The sequence below is a fragment of the Homo sapiens genome, chromosome 6, assembly GCF_000001405.40.
Source record: "Homo sapiens chromosome 6, GRCh38.p14 Primary Assembly".
Taxonomy (NCBI): Eukaryota; Metazoa; Chordata; class Mammalia; order Primates; family Hominidae; genus Homo; species Homo sapiens.
In genome coordinates this window covers 26,419,842-26,431,881 of record NC_000006.12, presented here as the reverse complement: position 1 = coordinate 26,431,881, position 12,040 = coordinate 26,419,842, and the positions used below count along the sequence as shown (strand labels likewise).

The 12,040-nt window shown below is 47.0% G+C and overlaps 1 pseudogene across 1 annotated transcript, besides 1 other annotated feature; it reads right to left on the bottom strand.

The window, feature by feature from the left end:
- Window positions 1-1,293: 1,293 nt before the first annotated feature.
- BTN2A3P (butyrophilin subfamily 2 member A3, pseudogene) lies at window positions 1,294-10,491 on the bottom strand (annotated as a pseudogene). The gene is made up of 7 exons (NR_027795.1): window positions 10,258-10,491; window positions 9,685-9,793; window positions 8,123-8,949; window positions 5,359-5,640; window positions 3,775-4,011; window positions 3,097-3,239; window positions 1,294-1,944 (listed from the first exon to the last, which is right to left on the bottom strand). The product of NR_027795.1 is annotated as a butyrophilin subfamily 2 member A3, pseudogene (transcript).
- Window positions 10,454-11,417: an enhancer, noted in NCBI's record as "H3K27ac-H3K4me1 hESC enhancer chr6:26420693-26421656 (GRCh37/hg19 assembly coordinates)". NCBI's record gives its function as "activates a minimal SCP1, AML or CMV promoter by ChIP-STARR-seq in naive H9 embryonic stem cells {active_cell/tissue: H9 hESC(naive)}" and the evidence as "EXISTENCE:reporter gene assay evidence [ECO:0000049][PMID:30033119]".

Genomic DNA, 12,040 nt, shown 5'->3' with positions numbered 1-12,040 from the left:
CCTGGGACTCCTTAGCTGTTATGGTGGGGCTTAAGCACCCTTACAACCTTGGTCCCTCCCAGCTCTCTGGTTCCACTTCGTCTATCTCTGACCTGCATATCTGGTTCACTCACCCTCTGGTGGTCCTGTGGATTCCTCTCTCCTCTCACATCCTGGCGACTCCTCTTGGCCTCATTCCAAGTCCACAGCATCTGGTGCCAACTGGCATACTGGGTTCAATGTAGTCACTGTGATGTTAAACAGCAGGTTCACTACCAATCAGCTTCTCACACTTTCTTCCTGGCTGGGAGCTGTGGAACAACTAGTTCCCTATGCCTGGATTCCATCCCATAGTTACAACCAAAGGAACTACTAAAGCCACACCTAATGAGGAGGTGAACAGGGGCTGAGGTCTGGAGTGGGTGTGAAAGAGGCAGCTGGAAGATGTTCTCTTGTGTGACCAGAGGGGAGGAGGGCGTGTCTTCCACCAGAGGCATTGTGCAGTGGCTGCTGAGATGGCCAGGGCTTGTTTCCATGGCTGTGAGACTGGGGAACTGATTCTGTGGGCTGTGGTGGGTCCCTGCTCTGTGAAGTGTCCAGCCCTCTTCAGGCACCGTGACCCCACTGGCTCCTGTGAATGCAGAGCAGATTAAGATTTGGCTGTCATAAGACCCTAAGCTGAAGAAGGGCCTCACAGGCACAGAAAAGGCTGAATGGGGAAATGTGTAGATGTGTGATCTGTCCCTCATGTTGTAGAAGGAGACGTCTCCAGCTTCATAGTCCAGGAAGATGCCCACCTGGCAAAGGGGCTCCTCCAGAGAGAGAATCCACTTAAGGGAGGTCAGGGCCCAGTATTTCCTTTTATGCATCTCCAAGGTCCAGAAGCCATTCTGAGGAAGTAGTGGGACCTCCCATTTCCTCTCAACATTGTCTCTACAGATCCCCACAGTCCACTCAATCACATTTTCCACATCTACCTCCAAGTAATGTTTCCCTGAGGCGAAGCTCTCCTGGCCCAGGACACAAAGCTGACTGTCGAATCTCTCTGGGTTGCCCGGAATGCTCTCCCTGGAGGGGTCCAATGTCACACTTCTTTTGTCCTCTGACACGAAGAGATAGGGATGACCAGTGTCTTGGTCCAGGACAACATTGGCTGCAGAGGAAGTCTCAGGAACTCTGTGTGGTTCCTGGTGCCCTGAGAGGTCTCAGAAAGCTGCAGCGGGATCCCCATGTAGGGGCCATTTCCACGAAGGCCCCCTGATCCCAGGCAGCTCATACCCGAGAATTACTGAAGATGCACTTTTTTTTTTTTTTGAGACTGAGCTTTGCTCTTGTTGCCAGGCCTGAGTGCAGTGGTGCAATCTCGGCTCACCGCAACCTCTGTCTCCCGGGTTCAAGTGATTCTCCTGCCTCAGCCCCCCAAGGAGCTGGGGTTACAGGTATGTGCCACCGTGCCTGGCTAATTTTATATTTTTAGTAGAAACAGGGTTTCTCTCCATGTTGGTCAGGCTGGTCTCGAATGCCCAACCTCAGTTGATCCTCCCACCTCTGCCTCCCAAAGTGCTGGGATTACAGGTGTGAGCCACCATCCTGGCCTCTGAAGCTGCATTTCTGTCTCTCCAGAGACAGTAAGCAGCACCCTCAGGTTGAGAAGAACTGAGGCTTTATGAAATCCAGAGAATTTGGGGAATGAGCCCAAATTAATCATTCACAATTTTAGCATTCTAAAATCTATTCCCTTTTCTATTCAAGACCTATGATCTCTGGGACTTTCTTTAGTTAGAAACTTTCCAACTTGGCTCAAACCAGCACAGAGGCTTTATGTCCTGCTCCTCCTCTCCCCATTGGATCAACTAAGGTGAGTCTTTCCCTTCACACTGTCCTGGAGGATAAAGGGTTTCTTCGTTGGTCCTATGTGTTCCTTTTACCAGATGACAACTGATTTAAATGACTGACGAGGGCACCCTTCGAGGATAAAGGAGAAAAATAAATGTCCCCAAAAGAAAACCTACTGCCTGAGGGGTCTGTAGGCAAAGGTATGGAGGAACTATTTCCATCCAGTTTTGCTTCAACAACATGGGTCTGATGTCTGCAGGTATGACTTCTGTATACCTATTAGATCAACAAACTCCAAAAGGAAGAAAAGATTCTGTCTAGGGAAAAGGGATTTGAATAGGAAAGGAAAGAAACTGCTAAAAGAACTGGGGAAAGAACATATAGGTAGGTACAGGAAATGTAGGTGCCTACCTAGGTACATTTCCTGTCAGTGCAAGAAATGCTCCAGACTCCGGGCATTCTGCCGGCCTCCCCCATCTACATTTATTCTTACTTATTTAGTCTACCTTTCTATTGTGTTAAAATGATTTCCTCCATTCCCCAAGTTAATATGTCTGGTTGTGACATTTTGCTATTTGGTCCCAAGTTGACAGTGGCAATTTTGAAATTCACCTAAAGAGGAAGGGTCCGTGTGCCATGGTATCTGGTGAAGCTTGGATTCTGTGGTGCTTATGGGCAGAGGGGCTCAATCATAAGATGGGAAGTGCCCATTGGGAGTGGGCAATTGGGTTCTGTGCTCTCCCACCCACCCGAACCCCCTCCCCTGGCAGGCTATATATACACAAAGTATAGGTGTTCTCTTAAGAGCAGAAAGGCATTTCTGGCCAGTTATTTGTATACCATTCTGTCAAGCTGATTGGGAACCTTTATAGCCTCTTGCCAACATGTGCCTTCAACTATGCACAGTCTACATCATTCCTAGTATATAAATTGCTAAGACAGCATTGTCTTCTTTCAAACTGATCCAGAATCAAAGAGCAAAAACCACTGAAGCATAAGTCTTGGGGAGGCTACTATATATGGAAACCTCTGGTAATCATGTATTAAATTATTCCAAAAGAGAAAGGATCCTGGGATGTAAACCACGGTGGATTGAGAGCTGCTGGGATTCTCTGACAGAAGAGCCATGATGCATCATTGCTGGGACACTGTTGATGAACTGACCCCAATTCCCTGCTATCCCTGTGTAGCCCTGGGCCCCTTGCTCATCTCCTCTAAGGAGTCCTGTTAGCTGGCTAGCGGGAGAAAGCTGAGATCTGAGGGAGCATCAGAGGCACTCACCAGCATGTAAGAATGTTCTTCTCCATCCTGCAAGGGACAGACAGAGGTTGAATGTCATGAGATGCTGCTAAATGAGCAGAACACAAATTGTACATGGAGTAGTTCAGGAAAGGCTAAACGTATGCAATTCTTCAGAAGTTGCTCTGAAAAACAGAAACAAAATCATGTCTTTAACAGAAGAACTAAAAGAAGTCGGGTTTATAGTAAGCAAAGCAGGAACAGCCCTTTCTATGAACAGCAACATCTCCCTTCCCTCATGCCTAGGGCACTGTCAGAAACCAGAAATGATATATGATCAGGGGCTGGGTAGTACCAGTACATTGTTACACTTGCTTTTGCTCAACCATTTAGTACTTCATGTAGCCAGGTGAATGAGTGCAATGCGGGCAGAATGAAAGAACAAAAGCTCTGAGAGATTCATTCCAAGGACATGAGAGTTCCAAGTCCTTGCTGCTGCTGCTGTGCATTTCCTCTCTCTTCTGTATGCTGGTACCTGGGAGAGCTGTGTTCTTTCTATAATGGTGAACTGTCCTCCTACTCTTTTACTTTTTTTTTTTTTTTTTAATTAGACACAGGGTCTCACTTTATTGCCCAGGTTGGTCTCGAACTCCTGGGCTCAAGTAATCCGCCTGCCTCAGCCTCCCACAGTGTTGGGATTCAAGCCATGAGCCACCATACCTGGCCTCTTTTACTGTTTATCTGAAGTTCTTTCTCTTTTTCCACATGTTCTTTCTCCAGTTCCTTTAGTGCAGTTTCTTTCCTTTCCTGTTCAAGCTCCTTTTGCCCTGACAGAATCTTTTTTTTCCTTTTGGAGATTGTTGATCCAGTAGATGCATATGGCAATGGGTATCATCAGAATAATCATGATAACAGGCAGGATCACCACACATGGAGACCTGCTGGGCATAAAGGATTCTGAAAAGGAAGCCAGAAACGTCCACTTAGTTTGAAACAGAACATCCAGGTGAGAGTGCCCCTAGCAGCACATCTCAAGAGCTCCTCAGCCTCCTGCTCTATTAGTTTCTCCCTCAGAAAACTTGGATGGAGAAAGTGATGCTGGCTCAGCCCTGGCTGACACCTCAGTGGCTTCCAGGGCCAAGGCCCAGAGGTAGCAAAGCAGAAACATCTGGAGTCACGGTAGGAAGGACCAGTGTACATAAAGCTAACCCGTTATGCTGAGTCAGCACAGCCGCCACCCTGCCTCAAGCCACCACCACTCATACCTGGAATACTGCAGTGCCTTCCTTCTTATTCTGCCCTTACCATTGGTAGTCCATTCTCAGCAGACCAGCCCAAGTGAGATCATGTTAATTCTTAGCTCAAATCCTTCCAATGCTTTCCAAGTCACTCGCTCTAAAAACCAGTCTTTTTGTGGCTTGCGATGCCATGTATGTGTTTTCATTGCCTCTGTGAATTCATCTCCTCTCACTTCCTGCACTCACTCCATTTCAGCCACAACAGCATCACCTCCTGAGGGTCCTGGAAACTGCCAGAGATGTTCCTTCCCCAGGCCCTTTGCATATGCTCTTCCTGTAGCTGGGTTGCTCAGTCTTTAAGCATCTGATGGTTCCTTGCCATCAGACAGAATGACTCAATTCCATCTTTACAGTGAATTCTTCCCTGACCATTCTGTTAATAATTGCAATATCTCATGCCCCTGCCTCTCTTTATTCCCTCCATGCTTAATGTTTCCTACAGATGTTCAAACCATCTGATAGAGTATATGGTCAATTATTTAATCACTTTTTGAGGGAGGAGATCTTGATATATTTTGTTCAATGATTTACCCTTGGTTTCTAGAACAGTGTCTTGAGCATTTGTTGAATGAATTATGAGCGTGTATCAATAAGGATTTTCCCCAGCTCTGTCCCTTGGGAAATCCCCTGGGCAGGAAGGGATGGCTGCAGCATACAGGAACACCAAGTGTAGAGAGTCACCTATCCACACCACCCTCCCTCCATGTGTCATGGTTGTTTTCAATGTTTAAAAATTGCTGCATCATAAGGATCTTGCAGGAAAAAAAAAAAAAAGACTAGGTTCGCCCTCAGAGAAGAGGCTCCTACTCCCGAGTTTTGGGACTCTTTGATTCTCCTTTTGTGAAAAGGGGTTAGAGAAGCTTCATATCAGCTGCAGCCTCCAGGTCCTCAGGGCCCAGAACCATTCATTCCACCCACACTGCTGCCCCCATCCCCGCTCTGGGCTCCATCTGTGTGCTGAGGATCCCCCATGCACTCAATGAGTCTCAGAGAGCAGAGAACTAACCTGGAATAAAAATGACACTTTCTTTCTTCTGGCCGAGCAGGGTGTCATTGATAGAGCAGGACACGTTCCTCACAGACTTGTCTCTGATGATCACAGCTGTGGTGACCATGAAGAGGCTGTCTGCGTCAGGGGTGGAGACCTCCTTCAGGGCAGGCACGACCTCACCGTAGGGGTCCCTCCACACTGTGAGGGGCTTTGGGTACCACCCTCCAGATATGCACTCCAGCTGGATGCCCCCGTCCTCGTGGTCTCTCATTTCAATGACGGGCTCAGAGTCCAGTCCTGGGGAGAGATACCAGGGCACAGCCAAAAGGCAGTGTCTCAGTGCCTATTGCATCTCTTCTGTGAAGAGAGAAAGTAAAGGAAAAAAAGAGGGAAGTAGGAAGCAAGAAATAGGAAGGAAGAAGAAAAGGATGAGGGTAAGGAAGAAAGAACATTGATGTTGGAGAACACCAGCAGACCAATTGGCCACACAAACTGTGAGCTCTCTAAGAGGAAAGGATCCAATTGCACCCTTTTCTTTGTGGTCCACCTACAGGCCCCATCACAGCACCAAGCATCTATGTGTCTGCTATAAATGCTTGTTCATTTTATCCTGCCAGATTAATTTTCTCACTTAAGGTGGGTTTGTCAACTCCCACTTCAAACAGGCAGGTTTTGGATTTCACTTTCTGGTCCCAGGATGACTTCTCAGTAGACCTCAGCTTCCAGAAGCTCTTGAATAACAAGGAGGACAAAAATCTGCCAGGCAGGCAGAATACTAAGCAACCATTTGACCTAAAGACATTTACTTTTCTGTTTAGTTTAGGGCTTCACATAACCACAGCTCTCTCCCACCCACAGGAGGTGATGGTTTTTAGGAGCCTCAACATGGTAGCCTGCAAAACCAACTCTAACCCTAATTCATACTGTTTACCTCCCAGAGGATCCGTCTTTTAGGCAATGTCTCTTTTGTTTTTTAGACAGGGTTTTAGCTCTGTTGTCCAGGCTGGAGTGCAGTGGCAAAATCATAGCTCACTGTACCCTGTAGTCCTGGGCTCAAGAGATCTTCCCGCTTTAGCCTCCCAACTAGCTAGGATTACAGGCATGTTCCACCATGCTTGGCTAACATTTTATTTTATTGTAGAGATAAAGTGTTGCCCAGGTGGGCAATTTTCTTATAGTGCTTTGAGAACATCGATTTATTAGAAAGATCTGGATGCTCTTGGGATTAAGATAACCATATCACTTTTTCAATATCAGAGATCATCACCAAAAATCCTAAGAATCTAGACTTACCCTAACTACAATCCATGTTTAATGAATCTTCAATAAAAGTGAATACCAGGTATGAAAGAGCTGCATGGTCCTAGGAGACCCTTAAGCCATGTGTGAACATCCAAACTTCTTCTGAGTAATTCCTTTGTAAAGTCTTCAAATTATGGCAAAGACAGGAAATTAAGCCAATAACTTTAGTCTATTGCTATGGCTCAATTTAATTATTATTATTATTTTTTGACACAGTCTCACTCTATTACCTGGGCTGGAGTGCAGTGGCATGACCGTGGTTCACCACAGCCTGAACTTCCTGGGTTCAGGTGATCCTCCCACCTCAGCCTCCCAAGTAGCTAAGACTACAGGCATGTGCCACCATGCCTGGCTAATTTTTTTTATATATTTTTAAAAGAGATGGGGTTTTGCCATGTTGCCCAGGCTCATTTTAATTTTTATCAAGAGATAAAACTACTTGTACATTTAAAGGCTCAGTGGAATAAGAATTAAAATAACTCAGCAAATTGGAGAACAAAGTTCTTCAAAACATTCCATGAGGTTCAATACAGGCAAGCATGACAAAATAGATTTAAAGGCAAAATCAGCCGGCCAACCAACCTAACATAGAGAATACAATAAACAAACAAACAAAAAGTCCTAAGCAGCCCAATTCAGAGTGGGAAAGGCCAGGCCAGTGTCAGTTTTACAGAGAGGGAGGAGTAGATTCCTGCCACGCAGAAACCATAACTGGCCAACCCTGCAGTGCTGCTACAAACACAGCCATGACACAAGATCAAGAAACCCTCCTTCCATGATATTCTGTTTTAATCACATGCAAGTTTGCCTTTGTGAGTAGCAAAGATGGGGTCTCCTACCTGTTATGATTTGAGGCCCCCTGGGAAGGACCCAATTCCCTAGTCCTCACCTCCTCTGGTCTGATGGAGTGAAATGCCACCACAGATTATCCTGCACCTGAAGGGCTTTTTCAGTCCTCAAATATATCTTTTAAAGCACAATAAACTAACCCCAAGACTGAGGTAATCACTTAATGTCATTTTAGCAAACTCCTAGAAATTCCAGTTCAAATGTATTTCTATGTTGAAACCTTGTCTATTCCCTGCCAGCTAAATTCTTACACTTTCTCTGTGGAGTCAGCAGGAATATAATTTTGCCTCTGGGCTAGGTGCAGTGGCTCACGCCTGTAATCGTAGCACTTTGGGAGGTCGAGATGGGCGGGTCACATGAGGTCAGGAGTTTGAGACCAGCCTAGTTAACATTGCAAAACCCTGTCTCTACTAAAAATACAAAATATGCCAGGTGTGGTGATGCATGCCTATAATCCCACCTACTCAGGAGGCTGAGGCAGGGAGAATTGCTTGAACCTGGGAGGTGAAGACTGCAGTGAGCTGAGATCGTGCCAATGCACTCCAGCCTGGGCAGCAGAGCGAGACTATGTCTCAAAAAAAATATTGCTTCTGTATTAAGTCTTGCTTTAATAAAACGCTCTACTTACATATAAGTCACTCTCTTTGCAAACAGCATTTCAGGAAAGAAGTCAGGATGAATATTCATCAAGAAATAAGATTTCAAATATCGTAGTTCTCTGGGCAGTCACTGTTTATTCCAGTTGTCCCAAGACAATTATTGATGGTGTCTCCTCTCACTCTCAGAAGTGCACAGCTCAGTGCTAAGGCAGGCATAGGACTTCTCTTCCGAGATTCACCATTTTCCCCGGCTCATGGCCTCAACTGAGTTCTGCATGTGCTTCTCAAGAAGTCAAGCCCACGGCTTAGCAGGGCAAACTCACTCATGGTGGCCCTTGTGCAGGAGGAAGGATTTTTCCCTGGAATCTTCTTTTCATAGGGAGAGTGTCCCTGCGGAATGGGGATCCAGGAAAGAGGATTGTGCTGGTCTGCAATGGGCTGGAATTTAGAAGAGAAGCTTTACCCAAAGTCACACAGTGCCAAAGTAACAAAGCAAAATGAAGCAACGCACCTGCCACCACAAGGTGCAGGATGGCCTCATTGCAGGACCTGCCTTCTTGGAAGTAACACTGGTAGATGCCGTTATCCTCGGCTGTGACATTGTGTATGATCAGGGCCACGCTGCCCCTGCTGTCTTTGCTCACAAAGGTGGTTCTCCCTCGGTACTCCTCCTTCTGCTCCTCTGTTCTCTCTCTTCCACCCTTATACACAAACACTGCAGGGGAGAACTGAGACTGGAACCACCGCACCTCCATGTCCTCAGCATTTTCCTCGGGTGACAGACAGCATCGTAACGTAGTGTTTTCTCCCACCATGGCCAGGATGGGATCAGTGGGCCCCACGACAGTGACCTGGGCTGTTCAACAAAGGGGCAGAATCAGACAAAGACACCAGCCATCACATCTCTAAGGCAGGAAAGGAAGCAGGTATTCCAGGGACAAACATATTCTTTCCACGGCCATAGGGTCTCCTTGGGCTGAGAATTCTGGGGACCAGTAGCTGTGGCTAGTCAACAGCACCCCTGGGAGCAGTAACTATGAAATCTGCTTCTGGTTCATGAAGGAAACCCTGGGGAGCCCTCCCTGAGCACCCTCTGTCCACCCTGTGCCCCATGAGGAGAATTTCCTCCATTCCCCAATCTAGCGCTGTGCCTGAGTGTAGTGTAAACTTGAGCCGTGCAATAGGGCACCTACCCACTAGCTAGTTCCAACTGAAATGAACTGTAAGTGTAAAATACGCACAGGATTATGAAGATTTAAAATTTCAAAATGTTGACTAAGCATTTATATATTCATATTTGGTTATTTGGGGTGAAACAAAATATAGTACACACATTTATTTCATGTTTCTTTTTACTTTCTTAAATAAAAAGTAAAATTTAATTTTTTTGGAAAATTTGCAATTGTACATGCACTTGGCCTTTGTGCCTCACTGTGTTTCTTTTGGACAGTGCTGGTATAAATTCAGTGAACATGTTCAGAATGAAAGGATAAGTCAACAACTCCACAGTCCTTCTTTCTTTGCCTTTGCAGACTACAGGGTTGATGATCCTTTCTGATAGGTGACAGCAGCAAGTGGCACACATCCCTACCTGAGACCAGTGCACACAGGCTGAGGAGGAGGAGGAGGGAGGCTGGCCGGGAGAAGTGCAGGGCAGCAGCTGGTTCCATGAGCACCCAGAGCAGGCAGGGACAGGAGGCCTAGGGTTACAGAGGAGAATCAGCCTAGGAGTCTTGGCACCTCAGTGCTGGTCGGGCCCAACCTCTCCCGTCACTCAAGTAGGTCTCATCAGTGCCCCAACTTCAGAGAGTCCCCTGCATCCGAAGGCTCAGGTATCTCCTGAGAGAGGGATTCCTTAAACATTCCATGAAGTAAGCCATCAATGCCAAGATCAAGGGGGCCTTTTTCCGCCCTCCTCGGCTCACTTCTCTGGCCAGAGTCCGGTTTCTTCAGTTGTCGCTGGATTCTATCACACCCTCCTCCCTTCACTTCCTCCTCCCCGCGATCCACGCCGGGCCACCGGAGGTAAAGCCAGGCGAGGAGGCGCCGCCCCACCGGTGGGCTTTCCCTCTCCCAGAACCCCCTCTCAAGTCCACAGCGGATCCCGCTACTTCCATCGACCGCCTTCACCCCGGAGCTGTAGCGCCTACCCTCCCTTTCCTACCTTCTAGAATTAGCGTGTAGTTTCTTTTCTCCTTTGGTCCTCAAATGGCAATTCTCCAGTCGTCCCCCAAGTCTCCAACCTTTCCAGGGGCACAGGCACTACTAGTCACAAACTGTCCCAAAAGAGGAGAAAAAGAATTTTCTTTGCCTCCCACTTACTCGCGATATGTGAAGTTGTGGGACCCGGGATCAGATTCTCTGGGCTTCCACAGTGTCCCAAGATTTCCCTAAGTATTTTAGAGTCCAGGATTGGCCGGGTGTGAGTGAACCAGCCAATGGTGTCGAGCCTTATTTCTCAGCAGTTACTAGGTAGAATACACCGAATCAAAAATTTCAAGCAGCAAGTAACCTTTTGAGATTATCGGGTCTTTTTATTTCCTTTTTGTTTGTTCGAAAGCAAGATACTTTTTCTTTCCTCTCTCTCTCTCTCTCAAGCCTTGAGATTCCCAAGGCTGGTCCCCAAGGTTGGTGGCTTTGCTACTATCCACAAGGAGAGGCTTCTCTATGTAGAGGGAGATTTTGCTGGGGAGGAAACATGAGGAGGAAAACAAAAGCCGCCCTCTTTCCAAAGCCAGAGGACTCTTGTCTAAGTTGCTGGCTTTGGAGTTTGGGCCTGGAGCACGGAAGGTCTTGGGGGAAGCAGGCATGGCTGGAGCGGGAGGGGTAGCAAAGGAAAGGAGACAGCAGTTGCAGTGGCTGTTATGAAGGCCTTGTCATTCATTCCAAAGCTATCGGATAAGAGGTGCTGAGAATCCTGAGTTATGATCAAAAACCCTTTCCCTCAGGCAGGTGGCATTCTGGTAGGGACAGAAGATAGAAGTGAACAAAACTTTCTAGCTGGCCTTGACTTTCTGCCAGTAGGTGGTGGGGTTGAGTCCAAGGACCACACACACACACATACACACTGGCACACATACCCTCTTCCCTCCAAAAAAAAATCCCTTTTCCACAGACTAAATCTTGTCATTGTAGAGATATCTTGCAGAATAATCTTCCCGAGGCTCAGTTGTGAATATGTCCCTCAAGTGTCTAAATGCTTAGTCTGGAGGCCTCCAATTACCTTCTGATTCAATTCAAAACTTTGCAGTTAATACGCTAGCAATGGCTCCACAGTGGCCTTGCATCACAATGTTGCACTCCCTGTGGCCAGCGCTCCCTTTCCCATGCCATGCCTTTCACTTGAATTGTTTGCTCCATCTCTGCCCCGTGAAATCCTGCCCAGCCTTCGTGCCTACTTCCTCCAAGAACAACTCTGAATGTTCCTGCCTGAAGTGTTCTCAGCCTCTTCTGACACCCAAATCTTTTGCTGTTCCCATATCCTGTCTTGTATTATTGTTATTCAGGTATCAACTGTGTCTTTGCTGTGGCTACAGTACCTGCTCTTCTAGACTGACTTCTGCAGGATGTGATTCTTCTCTCCTTATAGGGATCAGCCTTAGCTCTGCTCTCAGCTGCTGTTCAATGCATGAATGACATGCTCAGGGTAAGGTCATTCCCACCAGAGCATGGCCCAGTTCCTGGAATCATTCGGCATCAGAGTGTGAGAGAGAGGTGGCAGCAGGATTAAGCCACTCTAGGTCAGAAGTTCAAGGACCAGGAAGGAGGACCCAGTAGGTTCCTTCTGCAGAGAAAGCTCTATGATGAGAATGAGCTAAAGCAAGTCCTGAGAACTGCTTTTTCAATTGGACTGACCCTTATACTGTCCCTTTCTGAAACGGCAGCCTCACCTACCACTTGATGCTTCTGGAGTATAATTAAAATTGGATTCTAGGTTGAGTGGCTAA